The following is a 21742-nucleotide window of genomic DNA, read 5'->3' on the forward strand; positions in this document are numbered from 1 at the left end:
AATTCTCCCTCTTCTTGGTTTGTTTGTTTGTTTGCGACAGAGTCTCAGTGTGTCACCCAGGCTGGAGTGCAGTGATGCAATTTCAGCTCACTGCAACTTCTGGCTCCCAGGCTAAAGCCGTCCTCCCACCTCAGCCTCCCGAGTGGCTGGAACTACATGCACAAGCCACCGTGCCTGACTACATTTTTTTGTTTTCATTTTTGTAGAGATGAGGTCTCACTGTGTTGCCCAGGCAGGGTTTCTCTGGCTTTTAATGAACAATTGCTTCTTTTTTTTTCTTTTATTTATTTATTATTTATTTATTTATTTATTTATTTATTTATCATTATACTTTAAGTTTTAGGGTACATGTGCACGTTGTGCAGGTTAGTTACATATGTATACATGTGCCATGCTGGTGCGCTGCACCCACTATCTCATCATCTAGCATTAGGTACATCTCCCAGTGCTATCCCTCCCCCCTCCCCCCACCCGACAACAGTCCCCAGGGTGTGATATTCCCCTTCCTCTGTCCATGTGATCTCATTGTTCAGTTCCCACCTATGAGTGAGAATATGCGGTGTTTGGTTTTTTGTTCTTGCAATAGTTTACTGAGAATGATGATTTCCAGTTTCATCCATGTCCCTACAAAGGACATGAACTCATCATTTTTTAGGGCTGCATAGTATTCCATGGTGTATATGTGCCACATTTTCTTAATCCAGTCTATCGTTGTTGGACATTTGGGTTGGTTCCAAGTCTTTGCTATCGTGAATAATGCCGCAATAAACATACGTGTGCATGTGTCTTTATAGCAGCATGATTTATAGTCCTTTGGGTATATACCCAGTAATGGGATGGCTGGGTCAAATGGTACAATTGCTTCTTAAAACTTTCCCCACGGAAACCTTGAGTGACTGAAATAAATATCAAATGGCGAGAGACCGTTTAGTTCGTATCATCTGTGGCATGTAGGTCAGTGATGCTCAGCATGGGTGTGAGTAAGATGCCTGTGCTATGCATGCTCCCTGCCCCACTGTCAGTCTTCATGAGCCACTATTTCTAATAAGACTGTAGACACACATACGATATAATCATCTCTAATCATATCAAATGTTACATGTAAGTTTCACCTTTAGAGACATGAATTGATAAGATTTGAAGTTGAAAGACCATGACTCTAGTACTTCCTGAGTAATCAACTGAAGTATGCTTTACACATGTGTTTTCCAAATTGCTGACTGTTAATTGTAAGTGCTTGTGACTTGAAAGGAAGCACTTGATGTTCAGGGAGGAAATTCCTTTTAAATTCTGCAGGTCTACGCTCAAAGTTAATGCAGAGGTTCAATTGCGTGTAAGACACGGGATCTCCCATAGGGTTCTGTTTTTAGTCCATTTAATAAAACCCAAACTGTAGTGTGCTTTGTATGCCTTTAGGGTCATCTGAATAATCTGTTGCTAAGTCATGTTCCCAATCGTTGTGTTTCTGTTACAGGTGAAAAGCAATCACAGTGTTAAAAGAAGACACGTTGAAATGATGCAGGCTGCTCCTATGTTGGAAATTTGTTCATTAAAATTCTCCCAATAAAGCTTTACAGCCTTCTGCAAAGAAGTCTTGCGCATCTTTTGTGAAGTTTATTTCTAGCTTTTTGATGCTGTGAAATATGTATCATTCTTTGAAATCGTGTATTGTAACTCTCTGAGCTGGTATGTAGAGACATCGTTCTTTTTTTTTCTTTTTTTCTTTGTCCTCTTTTGAGACGGAGTCTTGCTCTGTCGCCCAGGCTGGAGTGCAGTGGCGCGATCTCTGCTCACTGCAACCCCGCCTCCCGGATTCAAGCAATTGTCTGCCTCAGCCTCCCGAGTAGCTGGGATTATAGGCACCCACCAGCACGCCTGGCTAAGTTTTGTGTTTTTACTAGAGATGGGCTTTCGCCATCTTGGCCGGGGTGCTCTTGAACTCCTGACCTCGTGATTCACCTGCCTTGGCCTCCCAAAGTGCTGGGATTACAGGCATGAGCCTCCGTGCCCGGTGGAGACATAATTCTTACATATTGGTTTTCTATCCAGCGGCCTTGTGAAATATGCTTGTGAATTCTAAAGTTTACTTCTAGGTCGTTTTCAGTCTTCAATATACAGAAACATATCATCCTGGAATAAGAGCAGTTTTGTTTCCGCCATATTTTTTTCTTTTCCCTTTTGTATTTTTTTGTAGAGACGGGGTTTTGCCATGTTTCCCGGGCTGTTGTTGAACTTTTGAGTGCAAGTGATGCACCCACCTCACCTCCCACAGTGCTGGGATTACTGGCGTGGGCCACCGTGGCGGGCCCGTCGTTGGCATTGTAAAGAGTTTTATTTCCTTTTCTGATTTTATGGCATTGTGCAGACTCACCCGTTACAATGGTGACAGTGGACATCCTTGTCTTCTCCCTGATGAGAAACCGAAAAATTTCAACATTTCGCCATCCTATTCACTCTCCTTTTTTTGTAGACGGACTTTATCAGAGTGAGTCATTGCATTCTGTTCCAAATTTGCTGAGAGTATTCATTTGAATATATGTTGATTTTCATCAAACAGTGCATCTATTTCGATTACCACAGCGTTTTTTCCCATTCATGTGTTAATATAGTGAATTCGATTGATAAATTTGTACGTTTTTAGGTTCGATTATTAAAACTTGAGACAGCGTCTCACTCTGTCACCGAGGCTGGAGTGCGGTGGTGTTATCAGAGCTCGCTGCAGCCTTGACCTCCTGGGCTCAAGCGCGCCTCCCACCTCAGCCTCCTGAGGAGCTGTGAGTATAGGTACATGCCACCATGCCCAGCTAATTTTTCGATGGTTTTTTGTTTGTTTTTTGTAGTGATGAGATTTTCTGATGTTGCTTAGGCTGGTCTCGAAGTCCTGAGCTCAGGTGATCTGGCCAGCTCAGCCTCCCAAAATACTAGGATTACAGGCGTGAGCCTTGGCCTGGTCTGGTTTTTCTTATATAGGGGTCTTATCTATATAAAGACTAAAGTTAATCTGTGCCTTTGTGCGGGTGGGCTAAGAGCATGATGACTTTTATCATTCTATTGATTTAAAGAAAACTGTCCTTGACTTACCAGTGTGTAAGTCCATGAAAGCATAATTCTGTTGAAAGCATATATTGTTAATGGGTGTTGGGAACCGTGCACTTTCCGCTGCTGTGGGAGCATGTCCTTGGAGGTACCTTTCATCTGTTTTCTCAACTCCAAACATCTTAGGACCATGGGTTGTGACTGGTAGGACTATGTATCTTGCTGCTTTCAAGACGGAGTATATTTTCACGTGGTGTCACTCTGGCTGTCCTGTTTCCCTAATACTGTCACTTCACCCTCTGCGATTCTGATGCTACAAATGATAGATATCGTTTTAGCATTTTCTTACGGGTCCTAGCGATTCTATTCATTTTTCTTTCAGTCTCTTTCTCTGACTTGTTCACATTGAACAATTTCCTTTTGGGATAGGTTGCTATTTCTGTTTTCGCAGGTGGTTTACCTGTCTTCCCAGCCAGTCACAGTGGTCCTTGTCCCCATGGTGGGTCCGGGGCAAGAGAGGGCCCTGGGTTGGGGGTGGGGTTCAGTTGAAGATGGGGTGAGTTTTGAGGGGAGCACTACTTGAGTCCCAGAGGCATAGGAAACAGCAGAGGGAGGTGGGATTCCCTTATCCTCAATGAGGATGGGCATGGAGGGTTTGGGGCGTGGCGCTGGGAACGGCAGCCCTCCCCAGCCCACAGCCGCGCATGCTCCCTGGGCTCCCGCCTCAGTGCGCATGTTCACTGGGCGTCTTCTGCCCGGCCCCTTCGCCCACGTGAAGAACGCCAGGGAGCTGTGAGGCAGTGCTGTGTGGTTCCTGCCGTCCGGACTCTTTTTCCTCTACTGAGATTCATCTGGTAGGTGTGCAGGCCAGTCATCCCGGGGGCTGAAGTGTGAGTGAGGGTGGAGAGGGCCTCGGGTGGGTCAGGCGGGTCCCGCTTCCTGGTCTGTGGCCTCCGAGGGAGAAGGGCCACGAGGTCGTCCTCCTTCCCTTCACAGGCTGCGAGGCCACCGGCGGCTTCGTGGTCGTGAAGGGGCCTGGACGGGGAGGAAGGTGGGCCGTGGAGGGGAGGCGGTCAGGGGCTCAGGTGAAGACGGGGTGAGTGCTGTTGGGGGGATGGAAGTCCCGAGGTGCCGGGATCCCCGACGACACAGGGCAGATTCCCTGAATGGGGCCCCCGGCGGGGGCGAGGCGGGCGGTGAAGAAGGGGCCTGGCACCTGGGAAGGCTGCGGCCTGGCGAGTGCCCCCTCAGCGGTGTGGAGTGCGGAGCGCCCGAGTGAGAAGCACTGCAAGGTCTCACCTCCGCCATGGAAGGTCCGAAAACAGTGGGAAGGAGTGGGCGAGGCAGTGCGGTCCAACCAAACTTGTTGTGAGTGGGGGTGAATGGCTCTAGGAAGTGGGAGTGTGCCCAAAGCAGCAATCACGAGAATTGTGATTCACTAGGGTTTTCGTGGGGAGTGCACTTGTGAAACTAAACCTCATCAGAAATGACCTCTGTCTGCGGGGCGCAGTGGCGCTCGCCTACGTATTCCCAGTTACTGGGGACACTGAGGTGGGAGGATCCCTTGAGCGGGAGGTCGAGGCTGCAGTGAGCTGTGATCACGCCGCTGCACTCCAGCCTGAGCAACACAGCGAGACCGCGTGTCCAAAAGAAATTTAGAAAAAAATGTCCTCTGCCTTTTGCCACACGCCTTAAGATGATTGCTCTGCCAGCCTGGCCAGCAGAAGTGGCTTTGTAGGCACTCAGACAGCGTACACACGTATGCTTAACTCTGGGACTTATTTTGAGAGTATTTTCAAAAGTAAAACGGCAAGTTAACATTTATCCATGGAAGTGATCGAATATAGCAGCCCTCTGGAGCGCACGTTCCCAATCACGGTTGTCTGTTTTCAGTGTGAAATATGAGTTGGCGAGGAAGATCGACCTATTATTGGCCTAGACCAAGGCGCTATGTACAGCCTCCTGAAATGATTGGGCCTATGCGGGTGAGTGCTTAAACGTTAATTCGATGTTTTCTATTAGTAGAAATTAATTTTTGTGATAGCGTCGTTGCATTAGTGTGGAAATGCTGATAAAGGTCTTTCCTGCTCATAAAAAATGAGGATGGCATCTCATGAAGGAAACATTGATTCTGGAGGATTTTTTTTTTCCTCTCGTGTTCTTCAGCTTTTGCCCATGACTTCTTTCTCCGGCTTTGTTTGTTAATGACAGATTGTACACATGTATTCCAACACAGAGTATAATAGCCCCCAAAGTCCTCGTGCGTCACTTTTCTCACAGTAACCTCCCTGTGGGTGGAGTAACCTTATTGGGCATAGAGCATAGAGTTGGAGAAATGTCTTTAGGCTTAGTTAGGACCAGAAATAGCTATGTATTCTGTGTATATATGTAAAATTTTGTATCAATAACGAAACTTATTTTCTATTTGCACACCCACACGTATTCCCCAGCCCGAGCAGTTCAGTGATGAAGTGGAACCAGCAACACCTGAAGAAGGGGAACCAGCAACTCAATGTCAGGATCCTGCAGCTGCTCAGGAGGGAGAGGATGAGGGAGCATCTGCAGGTCAAGGTGAGGGAAAGGGAAGAAGAACGTCTGCTGGTGTGTGCGTGTGTGTGTGTTCGTGTGTGTGTGTGCACGTGTGTGTGTGTTAGGCATTGTCACATAGGAGGAAGAGGAGGAAAGAAAACAATGGAAAGAATGCCTGAAATTGACTGGAAAAGCGAGGAGGCTATGTAGTTTGCAGCTTAGCTTAGGCAAATCCCTCACTATGATAAAAGTTCTCGACTTTATGAATGAGAGAATGGAGGTGCCAGGATTGTGTGTTATCCAAGAACCCTTGACTGGTGAATACAACATTTGTACTGTGTTCTAAGGTTTGTGTCTTCCTATCATGTATGTTGCTGGAAAGAAGGAAGTGATTTTGCTGAAAATGCTTAAAACTCAAAAGGCTTTACTGTAAGGTAGCTTAGTACTGACCCAAGAATAGACCCAGTTCAGAGGAGCAGGAGCAGCTCCAAAAACCGAGTCGCTGAATGTTGGCCCCCGTTTCCTTTGATTGATATTTTTATATGGTACGTTTGATAAAAGCTGGATAAATGAGGATACTGCCATACAGGTAGCTGGTTTAGTGATTTTTCTCAGCGGCCTTTAGGAGGTGATTAAATCCTTTTATGGTTAGAAAAGCAAAAACGGAATTATCCTGAGATTAACGTGAGATGGAAATAATTTCTCCGAGATAAAATGTTTTGAAAGGAAGCATTTATGTAACGGAGGTCATGGATTATTCCAGGGATGCACTGTTAAAAGTTCCTAGAATCTGACTGACAACAATGCCCATTAATTGCTGTCCGCCCACTCCCTTATTCTCAGTGCGGGGGACAGTATATTTTCTGTGATTCACAAACAATGTTATATTTGGTGCTTTGTTCTTCACGGGGTTCATTTATGGAATATTACCTTTAGGACCTTCGGACCTAAATATAACTTTATTTGAACAAAGTGAAGTTTCTCTTTACCCCAATAGGTAATGGGTGTCGTGACTGTAAGATTTCCATAGTCCTCAAATCCATCCAGCTAATCAATCCTTCAGAAACTGACATTGTAATTGTAACTGAAATCCTACCCACGTGGTAGACTTCAGATTTCTCAGCTGACGCACACTGCTGTTGGTACTCTAGGGCTGAATATAAGCATTATACATGTCCTGTGGTTTATCCTTAGATTGTCATTTAGGAGAAAGGTCTAAAGCTGGGCTGAATGCCATGCACTCATAGTCCCAGCTACTTGGGAGGCCGAGGTGAGAGGATTGCTTGAGTCCTGGAGTTCAAGCCCAGCCTGGGAAACACAGTGAGACCTCATTGCTAATAAATAAATAAATGAATAAATAAATAAACACATAAATAAATTCATTAAATAAATAAAGTTTTCATGGTATAGGAAAACACAGATGCAAAGTTTTTGTGCCTAGTGGCTGGTAATGTTGCAAACGTAACTCCTTAGTGAACTGTACCACTTAAAAATAGTTAAGATGGTAAATTTTAGGATATCTGTATTTTTTACCACAATTGGAAATTCCTTTCTTCCTAAAGTTCAGTGCAGTTATCATATATTCTTTTAAATTTTTACTGTATGTATCTTCAAGACATAACATTCATAGAAAATTTGCAAGAATAGTACAATGAACTCATATACTGTTCATCTGGATTCACCAATTGTTAGTAGCTTTCGCTTCATAGGTTTCACATCTCTTCCCTCCGTCTCTTACCGTGCTGCCCACACACTCACACACACACACACACACACACATACGGATATATGTTTACTGTTATTAATGGTGAATTGTCTCGATAAAGTTTCAGGGATTATGGTCCTTTACCCTATGTACTTGAGGGTGTGTATATCGTCAGAACAAAGAGAAAGTCATTTCTTGGATCATCACTGCACAAAGATAAAAATCAGGAAATTTAACAATGAGAAAATGGAGTCATTTAATACAGAGTGCATACTCAAATTTTGCCAGTTCCCCAGAAAATTTCTTTTTTCCTTTTTTTTTTCTTTGTTGAGACGGAGTCTCTCTCTGTGGGCCAGGTGGGAGTGCAGTAGTGCGATCTCGGCTCACTGCAACCTACACCTCCCAGGTTCTAGGGATTCTCATGCCTCAGCCTCCCGTGTAGCTGGGACTACAGGCGCCGGCCACTGCGGTCTTGAACTTCTGGCCTCACCTGCTCTGCCCACCTTGGCATCCCAAAATGTTTGGATTGCAGGCGTGAGACCCCACGCCCGGCCCAGATAATTTTATTGATAGGATTTCTTTTTCTGATCCAGAGTCCAGTTCAGAATCACACCTTGCATGTGCTTTTCAGGTGTTTTTAGTTTCCTTTAACCTGTAATGTTTCCTTAATTTTTCTTGTCATTCACGATACGGACATTTTTGGAGAGGATAGACCAGTTGGTTTGCAGAATATTCTGCAGTTTGGGCTTTTTCATGTATTTTTAAAAGAGTTTTCTCACTCAGCGTTTATTGGTGGCTACTCATGCCATGTAAGAGTCTAAGCGCTAGGAGTGTAAGTGCTGTGAGAGACGGGATTTGAGCCTTGAGTCATTTAATACGAGAAGGACAATCAGAAGTAGAATAAGAGAGAAGTGCAAAGGAGGCAGCAAAGTTGTCTGAGGGCAGTCTTCGGAAAGGAAGAGGGTATTATTTGGAACACCTTGTTTTCCTGTTTTCTGCTAATGGACTCCTGAAATAATGTTCCTGGGATTCTTATCAACACATTTAGTATTACGTTAGCTAAAGCTTTTATATAATAATACCGAGAGCATGAATATTATTTTCTTATTCATACTTTATGTTTTACTGCTTAAATTGATACGTATTTTTTATTTTTAAGGGCCGAAGCCTGAAGCTCATAGCCAGGAACAGGGTCACCCACAGACTGGGTGTGAGTGTGAAGATGGTCCTGATGGGCAGGAGATGGACCCGCCAAATCCAGAGGAGGTGAAAACGCCTGAAGAAGGTAGGCAATCCATTAGGCATGCACATTGTAGGGTGTCTGTTTCCACAGTATCATATTGTAATTGTTACTATGTTTTTGAGACGGAGTCTCGCTCTGAAGACCAGGCTGGAGTGCAGTGGTGCCATTTCGGCTCACTGGAAATTCTGTCTCCAGGGTTCAAGTGATTCTCCTGCCTGAGCCTCTGGCGGAGCCGGGCTTACAGGCATGCTCCGCCGCGCCCAGCTAATTGTTGTATTTTTAGTAGAGACAGGGTTTCGTTATGTTGCACAGGTTGTTCCCGAACTCCTGACCTCAGGTGATCCACCTGCCTCGACCATTGAAATTGCCGGGATTACAGGCGAGAGCCACCGTGCCCGACCCAGCATTATATTTGTAATAACGGAGAGGTAACAATACTGCCTCTTTAGTAACAGAGTTCTTATATAAAGGTTATTTGAAACGTAGTTCAGGCCCCAGCACCCGACTGATAGACTGTCAGGTAGGGAAACAAACTGAGTCAAAGCTATGTTGAATTAAAAGTTTTGAGTGTAAATCCTTAAACCAGTAGCTCACAATTTTCAGATGCTTTTGTAAAGGTCTGCTTTTAATCAATACATAACACGTTTGTAACACCCATCACTTGGTGTGAAAAATGCTGAAGCACTCATGCGGGTTCTAATACCAGCTCTTACAGCCTTGGCGAGATTCTGAGTGAGTCCTTTCCCTTCTAAACCTATCTTTGGTTCTTATGAAAATAGTGAGTTTAAGTCAGAGATTTTAAAACCATTTTGCATTCCGTTTCTTTCATACTCTGATCCTGTTGCATAGAATGCGTGGGACACAGAGATCATCTGCTTCGCATGGTTTGTTAATCACAAATCATGAAACCCTGGCCCGAGTCATCTGAAAATCTCTGAATTGAGATTTCATTGTCAGTAAGACAGTGAGCGGGCCCTCTGCTTCATCCTAGTTTTTCCGTGTGGAGAGCTGAATACGTAGTGTAAGATCTTGTGAAATTGTGAATTCTCCCTCTTCTTGGTTTGTTTGTTTGTTTGCGACAGAGTCTCAGTGTGTCACCCAGGCTGGAGTGCAGTGATGCAATTTCAGCTCACTGCAACTTCTGGCTCCCAGGCTAAAGCCGTCCTCCCACCTCAGCCTCCCGAGTGGCTGGAACTACATGCACAAGCCACCGTGCCTGACTACATTTTTTTGTTTTCATTTTTGTAGAGATGAGGTCTCACTGTGTTGCCCAGGCAGGGTTTCTCTGGCTTTTAATGAACAATTGCTTCTTTTTTTTTCTTTTATTTATTTATTTATTTATTTATTTATTTATTTATTTATTTATCATTATACTTTAAGTTTTAGGGTACATGTGCACGTTGTGCAGGTTAGTTACATATGTATACATGTGCCATGCTGGTGCGCTGCACCCACTATCTCATCATCTAGCATTAGGTACATCTCCCAGTGCTATCCCTCCCCCCTCCCCCCACCCGACAACAGTCCCCAGGGTGTGATATTCCCCTTCCTCTGTCCATGTGATCTCATTGTTCAGTTCCCACCTATGAGTGAGAATATGCGGTGTTTGGTTTTTTGTTCTTGCAATAGTTTACTGAGAATGATGATTTCCAGTTTCATCCATGTCCCTACAAAGGACATGAACTCATCATTTTTTAGGGCTGCATAGTATTCCATGGTGTATATGTGCCACATTTTCTTAATCCAGTCTATCGTTGTTGGACATTTGGGTTGGTTCCAAGTCTTTGCTATCGTGAATAATGCCGCAATAAACATACGTGTGCATGTGTCTTTATAGCAGCATGATTTATAGTCCTTTGGGTATATACCCAGTAATGGGATGGCTGGGTCAAATGGTACAATTGCTTCTTAAAACTTTCCCCACGGAAACCTTGAGTGACTGAAATAAATATCAAATGGCGAGAGACCGTTTAGTTCGTATCATCTGTGGCATGTAGGTCAGTGATGCTCAGCATGGGTGTGAGTAAGATGCCTGTGCTATGCATGCTCCCTGCCCCACTGTCAGTCTTCATGAGCCACTATTTCTAATAAGACTGTAGACACACATACGATATAATCATCTCTAATCATATCAAATGTTACATGTAAGTTTCACCTTTAGAGACATGAATTGATAAGATTTGAAGTTGAAAGACCATGACTCTAGTACTTCCTGAGTAATCAACTGAAGTATGCTTTACACATGTGTTTTCCAAATTGCTGACTGTTAATTGTAAGTGCTTGTGACTTGAAAGGAAGCACTTGATGTTCAGGGAGGAAATTCCTTTTAAATTCTGCAGGTCTACGCTCAAAGTTAATGCAGAGGTTCAATTGCGTGTAAGACACGGGATCACCCATAGGGTTCTGTTTTTAGTCCATTTAATAAAACCCAAAGTGTAGTGTGCTTTGTATGCCTTTAGGGTCATCTGAATAATCTGTTGCTAAGTCATGTTCCCAATCGTTGTGTTTCTGTTACAGGTGAAAAGCAATCACAGTGTTAAAAGAAGACACGTTGAAATGATGCAGGCTGCTCCTATGTTGGAAATTTGTTCATTAAAATTCTCCCAATAAAGCTTTACAGCCTTCTGCAAAGAAGTCTTGCGCATCTTTTGTGAAGTTTATTTCTAGCTTTTTGATGCTGTGAAATATGTATCATTCTTTGAAATCGTGTATTGTAACTCTCTGAGCTGGTATGTAGAGACATCGTTCTTTTTTTTTCTTTTTTTCTTTGTCCTCTTTTGAGACGGAGTCTTGCTCTGTCGCCCAGGCTGGAGTGCAGTGGCGCGATCTCTGCTCACTGCAACCCCGCCTCCCGGATTCAAGCAATTGTCTGCCTCAGCCTCCCGAGTAGCTGGGATTATAGGCACCCACCAGCACGCCTGGCTAAGTTTTGTGTTTTTACTAGAGATGGGCTTTCGCCATCTTGGCCGGGGTGCTCTTGAACTCCTGACCTCGTGATTCACCTGCCTTGGCCTCCCAAAGTGCTGGGATTACAGGCATGAGCCTCCGTGCCCGGTGGAGACATAATTCTTACATATTGGTTTTCTATCCAGCGGCCTTGTGAAATATGCTTGTGAATTCTAAAGTTTACTTCTAGGTCGTTTTCAGTCTTCAATATACAGAAACATATCATCCTGGAATAAGAGCAGTTTTGTTTCCGCCATATTTTTTTCTTTTCCCTTTTGTATTTTTTTGTAGAGACGGGGTTTTGCCATGTTTCCCGGGCTGTTGTTGAACTTTTGAGTGCAAGTGATGCACCCACCTCACCTCCCACAGTGCTGGGATTACTGGCGTGGGCCACCGTGGCGGGCCCGTCGTTGGCATTGTAAAGAGTTTTATTTCCTTTTCTGATTTTATGGCATTGTGCAGACCCACCCGTTACAATGGTGACAGTGGACATCCTTGTCTTCTCCCTGATGAGAAACCGAAAAATTTCAACATTTCGCCATCCTATTCACTCTCCTTTTTTTGTAGACGGACTTTATCAGAGTGAGTCATTGCATTCTGTTCCAAATTTGCTGAGAGTATTCATTTGAATATATGTTGATTTTCATCAAACAGTGCATCTATTTCGATTACCACAGCGTTTTTTCCCATTCATGTGTTAATATAGTGAATTCGATTGATAAATTTGTACGTTTTTAGGTTCGATTATTAAAACTTGAGACAGCGTCTCACTCTGTCACCGAGGCTGGAGTGCGGTGGTGTTATCAGAGCTCGCTGCAGCCTTGACCTCCTGGGCTCAAGCGCGCCTCCCACCTCAGCCTCCTGAGGAGCTGTGAGTATAGGTACATGCCACCATGCCCAGCTAATTTTTCGATGGTTTTTTGTTTGTTTTTTGTAGTGATGAGATTTTCTGATGTTGCTTAGGCTGGTCTCGAAGTCCTGAGCTCAGGTGATCTGGCCAGCTCAGCCTCCCAAAATACTAGGATTACAGGCGTGAGCCTTGGCCTGGTCTGGTTTTTCTTATATAGGGGTCTTATCTATATAAAGACTAAAGTTAATCTGTGCCTTTGTGCGGGTGGGCTAAGAGCATGATGACTTTTATCATTCTATTGATTTAAAGAAAACTGTCCTTGACTTACCAGTGTGTAAGTCCATGAAAGCATAATTCTGTTGAAAGCATATATTGTTAATGGGTGTTGGGAACCGTGCACTTTCCGCTGCTGTGGGAGCATGTCCTTGGAGGTACCTTTCATCTGTTTTCTCAACTCCAAACATCTTAGGACCATGGGTTGTGACTGGTAGGACTATGTATCTTGCTGCTTTCAAGACGGAGTATATTTTCACGTGGTGTCACTCTGGCTGTCCTGTTTCCCTAATACTGTCACTTCACCCTCTGCGATTCTGATGCTACAAATGATAGATATCGTTTTAGCATTTTCTTACGGGTCCTAGCGATTCTATTCATTTTTCTTTCAGTCTCTTTCTCTGACTTGTTCACATTGAACAATTTCCTTTTGGGATAGGTTGCTATTTCTGTTTTCGCAGGTGGTTTACCTGTCTTCCCAGCCAGTCACAGTGGTCCTTGTCCCCATGGTGGGTCCGGGGCAAGAGAGGGCCCTGGGTTGGGGGTGGGGTTCAGTTGAAGATGGGGTGAGTTTTGAGGGGAGCACTACTTGAGTCCCAGAGGCATAGGAAACAGCAGAGGGAGGTGGGATTCCCTTATCCTCAATGAGGATGGGCATGGAGGGTTTGGGGCGTGGCGCTGGGAACGGCAGCCCTCCCCAGCCCACAGCCGCGCATGCTCCCTGGGCTCCCGCCTCAGTGCGCATGTTCACTGGGCGTCTTCTGCCCGGCCCCTTCGCCCACGTGAAGAACGCCAGGGAGCTGTGAGGCAGTGCTGTGTGGTTCCTGCCGTCCGGACTCTTTTTCCTCTACTGAGATTCATCTGGTAGGTGTGCAGGCCAGTCATCCCGGGGGCTGAAGTGTGAGTGAGGGTGGAGAGGGCCTCGGGTGGGTCAGGCGGGTCCCGCTTCCTGGTCTGTGGCCTCCGAGGGAGAAGGGCCACGAGGTCGTCCTCCTTCCCTTCACAGGCTGCGAGGCCACCGGCGGCTTCGTGGTCGTGAAGGGGCCTGGACGGGGAGGAAGGTGGGCCGTGGAGGGGAGGCGGTCAGGGGCTCAGGTGAAGACGGGGTGAGTGCTGTTGGGGGGATGGAAGTCCCGAGGTGCCGGGATCCCCGACGACACAGGGCAGATTCCCTGAATGGGGCCCCCGGCGGGGGCGAGGCGGGCGGTGAAGAAGGGGCCTGGCACCTGGGAAGGCTGCGGCCTGGCGAGCGCCCCCTCAGCGGTGTGGAGTGCGGAGCGCCCGAGTGAGAAGCACTGCAAGGTCTCACCTCCGCCATGGAAGGTCCGAAAACAGTGGGAAGGAGTGGGCGAGGCAGTGCGGTCCAACCAAACTTGTTGTGAGTGGGGGTGAATGGCTCTAGGAAGTGGGAGTGTGCCCAAAGCAGCAATCACGAGAATTGTGATTCACTAGGGTTTTCGTGGGGAGTGCACTTGTGAAACTAAACCTCATCAGAAATGACCTCTGTCTGCGGGGCGCAGTGGCGCTCGCCTACGTATTCCCAGTTACTGGGGACACTGAGGTGGGAGGATCCCTTGAGCGGGAGGTCGAGGCTGCAGTGAGCTGTGATCACGCCGCTGCACTCCAGCCTGAGCAACACAGCGAGACCGCGTGTCCAAAAGAAATTTAGAAAAAAATGTCCTCTGCCTTTTGCCACACGCCTTAAGATGATTGCTCTGCCAGCCTGGCCAGCAGAAGTGGCTTTGTAGGCACTCAGACAGCGTACACACGTATGCTTAACTCTGGGACTTATTTTGAGAGTATTTTCAAAAGTAAAACGGCAAGTTAACATTTATCCATGGAAGTGATCGAATATAGCAGCCCTCTGGAGCGCACGTTCCCAATCACGGTTGTCTGTTTTCAGTGTGAAATATGAGTTGGCGAGGAAGATCGACCTATTATTGGCCTAGACCAAGGCGCTATGTACAGCCTCCTGAAATGATTGGGCCTATGCGGGTGAGTGCTTAAACGTTAATTCGATGTTTTCTATTAGTAGAAATTAATTTTTGTGATAGCGTCGTTGCATTAGTGTGGAAATGCTGATAAAGGTCTTTCCTGCTCATAAAAAATGAGGATGGCATCTCATGAAGGAAACATTGATTCTGGAGGATTTTTTTTTTCCTCTCGTGTTCTTCAGCTTTTGCCCATGACTTCTTTCTCCGGCTTTGTTTGTTAATGACAGATTGTACACATGTATTCCAACACAGAGTATAATAGCCCCCAAAGTCCTCGTGCGTCACTTTTCTCACAGTAACCTCCCTGTGGGTGGAGTAACCTTATTGGGCATAGAGCATAGAGTTGGAGAAATGTCTTTAGGCTTAGTTAGGACCAGAAATAGCTATGTATTCTGTGTATATATGTAAAATTTTGTATCAATAACGAAACTTATTTTTTATTTGCACACCCACACGTATTCCCCAGCCCGAGCAGTTCAGTGATGAAGTGGAACCAGCAACACCTGAAGAAGGGGAACCAGCAACTCAATGTCAGGATCCTGCAGCTGCTCAGGAGGGAGAGGATGAGGGAGCATCTGCAGGTCAAGGTGAGGGAAAGGGAAGAAGAACGTCTGCTGGTGTGTGCGTGTGTGTGTGTTCGTGTGTGTGTGTGCACGTGTGTGTGTGTTAGGCATTGTCACATAGGAGGAAGAGGAGGAAAGAAAACAATGGAAAGAATGCCTGAAATTGACTGGAAAAGCGAGGAGGCTATGTAGTTTGCAGCTTAGCTTAGGCAAATCCCTCACTATGATAAAAGTTCTCGACTTTATGAATGAGAGAATGGAGGTGCCAGGATTGTGTGTTATCCAAGAACCCTTGACTGGTGAATACAACATTTGTACTGTGTTCTAAGGTTTGTGTCTTCCTATCATGTATGTTGCTGGAAAGAAGGAAGTGATTTTGCTGAAAATGCTTAAAACTCAAAAGGCTTTACTGTAAGGTAGCTTAGTACTGACCCAAGAATAGACCCAGTTCAGAGGAGCAGGAGCAGCTCCAAAAACCGAGTCGCTGAATGTTGGCCCCCGTTTCCTTTGATTGATATTTTTATATGGTACGTTTGATAAAAGCTGGATAAATGAGGATACTGCCATACAGGTAGCTGGTTTAGTGATTTTTCTCAGCGGCCTTTAGGAGGTGATTAAATCCTTTTATGGTTAGAAAAGCAAAAACGGAATTATCCTGAGATTAACGTGAGATGGAAATAATTTCTCCGAGATAAAATGTTTTGAAAGGAAGCATTTATGTAACGGAGGTCATGGATTATTCCAGGGATGCACTGTTAAAAGTTCCTAGAATCTGACTGACAACAATGCCCATTAATTGCTGTCCGCCCACTCCCTTATTCTCAGTGCGGGGGACAGTATATTTTCTGTGATTCACAAACAATGTTATATTTGGTGCTTTGTTCTTCACGGGGTTCATTTATGGAATATTACCTTTAGGACCTTCGGACCTAAATATAACTTTATTTGAACAAAGTGAAGTTTCTCTTTACCCCAATAGGTAATGGGTGTCGTGACTGTAAGATTTCCATAGTCCTCAAATCCATCCAGCTAATCAATCCTTCAGAAACTGACATTGTAATTGTAACTGAAATCCTACCCACGTGGTAGACTTCAGATTTCTCAGCTGACGCACACTGCTGTTGGTACTCTAGGGCTGAATATAAGCATTATACATGTCCTGTGGTTTATCCTTAGATTGTCATTTAGGAGAAAGGTCTAAAGCTGGGCTGAATGCCATGCACTCATAGTCCCAGCTACTTGGGAGGCCGAGGTGAGAGGATTGCTTGAGTCCTGGAGTTCAAGCCCAGCCTGGGAAACACAGTGAGACCTCATTGCTAATAAATAAATAAATGAATAAATAAATAAACACATAAATAAATTCATTAAATAAATAAAGTTTTCATGGTATAGGAAAACACAGATGCAAAGTTTTTGTGCCTAGTGGCTGGTAATGTTGCAAACGTAACTCCTTAGTGAACTGTACCACTTAAAAATAGTTAAGATGGTAAATTTTAGGATATCTGTATTTTTTACCACAATTGGAAATTCCTTTCTTCCTAAAGTTCAGTGCAGTTATCATATATTCTTTTAAATTTTTACTGTATGTATCTTCAAGACATAACATTCATAGAAAATTTGCAAGAATAGTACAATGAACTCATATACTGTTCATCTGGATTCACCAATTGTTAGTAGCTTTCGCTTCATAGGTTTCACATCTCTTCCCTCCGTCTCTTACCGTGCTGCCCACACACTCACACACACACACACACACACACATACGGATATATGTTTACTGTTATTAATGGTGAATTGTCTCGATAAAGTTTCAGGGATTATGGTCCTTTACCCTATGTACTTGAGGGTGTGTATATCGTCAGAACAAAGAGAAAGTCATTTCTTGGATCATCACTGCACAAAGATAAAAATCAGGAAATTTAACAATGAGAAAATGGAGTCATTTAATACAGAGTGCATACTCAAATTTTGCCAGTTCCCCAGAAAATTTCTTTTTTCCTTTTTTTTTTCTTTGTTGAGACGGAGTCTCTCTCTGTGGGCCAGGTGGGAGTGCAGTAGTGCGATCTCGGCTCACTGCAACCTACACCTCCCAGGTTCTAGGGATTCTCATGCCTCAGCCTCCCGTGTAGCTGGGACTACAGGCGCCGGCCACTGCGGTCTTGAACTTCTGGCCTCACCTGCTCTGCCCACCTTGGCATCCCAAAATGTTTGGATTGCAGGCGTGAGACCCCACGCCCGGCCCAGATAATTTTATTGATAGGATTTCTTTTTCTGATCCAGAGTCCAGTTCAGAATCACACCTTGCATGTGCTTTTCAGGTGTTTTTAGTTTCCTTTAACCTGTAATGTTTCCTTAATTTTTCTTGTCATTCACGATACGGACATTTTTGGAGAGGATAGACCAGTTGGTTTGCAGAATATTCTGCAGTTTGGGCTTTTTCATGTATTTTTAAAAGAGTTTTCTCACTCAGCGTTTATTGGTGGCTACTCATGCCATGTAAGAGTCTAAGCGCTAGGAGTGTAAGTGCTGTGAGAGACGGGATTTGAGCCTTGAGTCATTTAATACGAGAAGGACAATCAGAAGTAGAATAAGAGAGAAGTGCAAAGGAGGCAGCAAAGTTGTCTGAGGGCAGTCTTCGGAAAGGAAGAGGGTATTATTTGGAACACCTTGTTTTCCTGTTTTCTGCTAATGGACTCCTGAAATAATGTTCCTGGGATTCTTATCAACACATTTATTATTACGTTAGCTAAAGCTTTTATATAATAATACCGAGAGCATGAATATTATTTTCTTATTCATACTTTATGTTTTACTGCTTAAATTGATACGTATTTTTTATTTTTAAGGGCCGAAGCCTGAAGCTCATAGCCAGGAACAGGGTCACCCACAGACTGGGTGTGAGTGTGAAGATGGTCCTGATGGGCAGGAGATGGACCCGCCAAATCCAGAGGAGGTGAAAACGCCTGAAGAAGGTAGGCAATCCATTAGGCATGCACATTGTAGGGTGTCTGTTTCCACAGTATCATATTGTAATTGTTACTATGTTTTTGAGACGGAGTCTCGCTCTGAAGACCAGGCTGGAGTGCAGTGGTGCCATTTCGGCTCACTGGAAATTCTGTCTCCAGGGTTCAAGTGATTCTCCTGCCTGAGCCTCTGGCGGAGCCGGGCTTACAGGCATGCTCCGCCGCGCCCAGCTAATTGTTGTATTTTTAGTAGAGACAGGGTTTCGTTATGTTGCACAGGTTGTTCCCGAACTCCTGACCTCAGGTGATCCACCTGCCTCGACCATTGAAATTGCCGGGATTACAGGCGAGAGCCACCGTGCCCGACCCAGCATTATATTTTTAATAACGGAGAGGTAACAATACTGCCTCTTTAGTAACAGAGTTCTTATATAAAGGTTATTTGAAACGTAGTTCAGGCCCCAGCACCCGACTGATAGACTGTCAGGTAGGGAAACAAACTGAGTCAAAGCTATGTTGAATTAAAAGTTTTGAGTGTAAATCCTTAAACCAGTAGCTCACAATTTTCAGATGCTTTTGTAAAGGTCTGCTTTTAATCAATACATAACACGTTTGTAACACCCATCACTTGGTGTGAAAAATGCTGAAGCACTCATGCGGGTTCTAATACCAGCTCTTACAGCCTTGGCGAGATTCTGAGTGAGTCCTTTCCCTTCTAAACCTATCTTTGGTTCTTATGAAAATAGTGAGTTTAAGTCAGAGATTTTAAAACCATTTTGCATTCCGTTTCTTTCATACTCTGATCCTGTTGCATAGAATGCGTGGGACACAGAGATCATCTGCTTCGCATGGTTTGTTAATCACAAATCATGAAACCCTGGCCCGAGTCATCTGAAAATCTCTGAATTGAGATTTCATTGTCAGTAAGACAGTGAGCCGGCCCTCTGCTTCATCCTAGTTTTTCCGTGTGGAGAGCTGAATACGTAGTGTAAGATCTTGTGAAATTGTGAATTCTCCCTCTTCTTGGTTTGTTTGTTTGTTTGCGACAGAGTCTCAGTGTGTCACCCAGGCTGGAGTGCAGTGATGCAATTTCAGCTCACTGCAACTTCTGGCTCCCAGGCTAAAGCCGTCCTCCCACCTCAGCCTCCCGAGTGGCTGGAACTACATGCACAAGCCACCGTGCCTGACTACATTTTTTTGTTTTCATTTTTGTAGAGATGAGGTCTCACTGTGTTGCCCAGGCAGGGTTTCTCTGGCTTTTAATGAACAATTGCTTCTTTTTTTTTCTTTTATTTATTTATTTATTTATTTATTTATTTATTTATTTATTTATCATTATACTTTAAGTTTTAGGGTACATGTGCACGTTGTGCAGGTTAGTTACATATGTATACATGTGCCATGCTGGTGCGCTGCACCCACTATCTCATCATCTAGCATTAGGTACATCTCCCAGTGCTATCCCTCCCCCCTCCCCCCACCCGACAGCAGTCCCCAGGGTGTGATATTCCCCTTCCTCTGTCCATGTGATCTCATTGTTCAGTTCCCACCTATGAGTGAGAATATGCGGTGTTTGGTTTTTTGTTCTTGCAATAGTTTACTGAGAATGATGATTTCCAGTTTCATCCATGTCCCTACAAAGGACATGAACTCATCATTTTTTAGGGCTGCATAGTATTCCATGGTGTATATGTGCCACATTTTCTTAATCCAGTCTATCGTTGTTGGACATTTGGGTTGGTTCCAAGTCTTTGCTATCGTGAATAATGCCGCAATAAACATACGTGTGCATGTGTCTTTATAGCAGCATGATTTATAGTCCTTTGGGTATATACCCAGTAATGGGATGGCTGGGTCAAATGGTACAATTGCTTCTTAAAACTTTCCCCACGGAAACCTTGAGTGACTGAAATAAATATCAAATGGCGAGAGACCGTTTAGTTCGTATCATCTGTGGCATGTAGGTCAGTGATGCTCAGCATGGGTGTGAGTAAGATGCCTGTGCTATGCATGCTCCCTGCCCCACTGTCAGTCTTCATGAGCCACTATTTCTAATAAGACTGTAGACACACATACGATATAATCATCTCTAATCATATCAAATGTTACATGTAAGTTTCACCTTTAGAGACATGAATTGATAAGATTTGAAGTTGAAAGACCATGACTCTAGTACTTCCTGAGTAATCAACTGAAGTATGCTTTACGCATGTGTTTTCCAAATTGCTGACTGTTAATTGTAAGTGCTTGTGACTTGAAAGGAAGCACTTGATGTTCAGGGAGGAAATTCCTTTTAAATTCTGCAGGTCTACGCTCAAAGTTAATGCAGAGGTTCAATTGCGTGTAAGACACGGGATCTCCCATAGGGTTCTGTTTTTAGTCCATTTAATAAAACCCAAACTGTAGTGTGCTTTGTATGCCTTTAGGGTCATCTGAATAATCTGTTGCTAAGTCATGTTCCCAATCGTTGTGTTTCTGTTACAGGTGAAAAGCAATCACAGTGTTAAAAGAAGACACGTTGAAATGATGCAGGCTGCTCCTATGTTGGAAATTTGTTCATTAAAATTCTCCCAATAAAGCTTTACAGCCTTCTGCAAAGAAGTCTTGCGCATCTTTTGTGAAGTTTATTTCTAGCTTTTTGATGCTGTGAAATATGTATCATTCTTTGAAATCGTGTATTGTAACTCTCTGAGCTGGTATGTAGAGACATCGTTCTTTTTTTTTCTTTTTTTCTTTGTCCTCTTTTGAGACGGAGTCTTGCTCTGTCGCCCAGGCTGGAGTGCAGTGGCGCGATCTCTGCTCACTGCAACCCCGCCTCCCGGATTCAAGCAATTGTCTGCCTCAGCCTCCCGAGTAGCTGGGATTATAGGCACCCACCAGCACGCCTGGCTAAGTTTTGTGTTTTTACTAGAGATGGGCTTTCGCCATCTTGGCCGGGGTGCTCTTGAACTCCTGACCTCGTGATTCACCTGCCTTGGCCTCCCAAAGTGCTGGGATTACAGGCATGAGCCTCCGTGCCCGGTGGAGACATAATTCTTACATATTGGTTTTCTATCCAGCGGCCTTGTGAAATATGCTTGTGAATTCTAAAGTTTACTTCTAGGTCGTTTTCAGTCTTCAATATACAGAAACATATCATCCTGGAATAAGAGCAGTTTTGTTTCCGCCATATTTTTTTCTTTTCCCTTTTGTATTTTTTTGTAGAGACGGGGTTTTGCCATGTTTCCCGGGCTGTTGTTGAACTTTTGAGTGCAAGTGATGCACCCACCTCACCTCCCACAGTGCTGGGATTACTGGCGTGGGCCACCGTGGCGGGCCCGTCGTTGGCATTGTAAAGAGTTTTATTTCCTTTTCTGATTTTATGGCATTGCGCAGACCCACCCGTTACAATGGTGACAGTGGACATCCTTGTCTTCTCCCTGATGAGAAACCGAAAAATTTCAACATTTCGCCATCCTATTCACTCTCCTTTTTTTGTAGACGGACTTTATCAGAGTGAGTCATTGCATTCTGTTCCAAATTTGCTGAGAGTATTCATTTGAATATATGTTGATTTTCATCAAACAGTGCATCTATTTCGATTACCACAGCGTTTTTTCCCATTCATGTGTTAATATAGTGAATTCGATTGATAAATTTG

At 44.4% G+C, this 21742-nt stretch overlaps 3 protein-coding genes across 3 annotated transcripts in view; all 3 read left to right on the forward strand.

Moving 5' to 3' along the window:
- The window catches only part of GAGE12B (G antigen 12B), a 188819-nt gene extending 187231 nt beyond the window's left edge, over positions 1-1588 (forward strand). Inside the window, exon 5 of the mRNA NM_001127345.3 lies at positions 1475-1588. Coding sequence (NP_001120817.2) covers positions 1475-1497 — 23 coding nt within the window. The 3' untranslated portion in view covers positions 1498-1588. The remainder of the gene's footprint in view (positions 1-1474) is intronic.
- A 2194-nt stretch (positions 1589-3782) lies between these two features.
- Positions 3783-11144, forward strand: GAGE12C (G antigen 12C). Its single transcript, NM_001098408.3, has 5 exons — positions 3783-3890; positions 4930-5021; positions 5487-5607; positions 8430-8555; positions 11031-11144. Exons 2-5 carry the CDS (start codon positions 4938-4940, stop codon positions 11051-11053), a joined length of 354 nt encoding a protein of 117 aa, NP_001091878.1. The 5' UTR covers positions 3783-3890; positions 4930-4937; the 3' UTR covers positions 11054-11144.
- A 2194-nt stretch (positions 11145-13338) lies between these two features.
- Positions 13339-20700, forward strand: GAGE12D (G antigen 12D). Its single transcript, NM_001127199.3, has 5 exons — positions 13339-13446; positions 14486-14577; positions 15043-15163; positions 17986-18111; positions 20587-20700. The coding sequence occupies exons 2-5, from the start codon at positions 14494-14496 to the stop codon at positions 20607-20609; spliced, it is 354 nt and encodes a 117-aa protein (NP_001120671.1). The 5' UTR covers positions 13339-13446; positions 14486-14493; the 3' UTR covers positions 20610-20700.
- The last annotated feature ends 1042 nt before the right edge of the window (positions 20701-21742 follow it).

The sequence above is a fragment of the Homo sapiens genome, chromosome X (genome assembly GCF_000001405.40).
Source record: "Homo sapiens chromosome X, GRCh38.p14 Primary Assembly".
Lineage (NCBI taxonomy): Eukaryota > Metazoa > Chordata > Mammalia > Primates > Hominidae > Homo > Homo sapiens.

Excerpts from the sequence above, each read along its gene's own strand:
- GAGE12C (NM_001098408.3), top strand. The coding sequence starts at position 4,938 with ATGAGTTGGCGAGGAAGATCGACCTATTATTGGCCTAGACCAAGGCGC. Across the intron at positions 5,022-5,486 it reads AAATGATTGGGCCTATGCGG|CCCGAGCAGTTCAGTGATGA; the intron begins GTGAGTGCTTAA and ends CGTATTCCCCAG. Across the intron at positions 8,556-11,030 it reads GGTGAAAACGCCTGAAGAAG|GTGAAAAGCAATCACAGTGT; the intron begins GTAGGCAATCCA and ends TTTCTGTTACAG.
- GAGE12D (NM_001127199.3), top strand. The coding sequence starts at position 14,494 with ATGAGTTGGCGAGGAAGATCGACCTATTATTGGCCTAGACCAAGGCGC. Across the intron at positions 14,578-15,042 it reads AAATGATTGGGCCTATGCGG|CCCGAGCAGTTCAGTGATGA; the intron begins GTGAGTGCTTAA and ends CGTATTCCCCAG. Across the intron at positions 18,112-20,586 it reads GGTGAAAACGCCTGAAGAAG|GTGAAAAGCAATCACAGTGT; the intron begins GTAGGCAATCCA and ends TTTCTGTTACAG.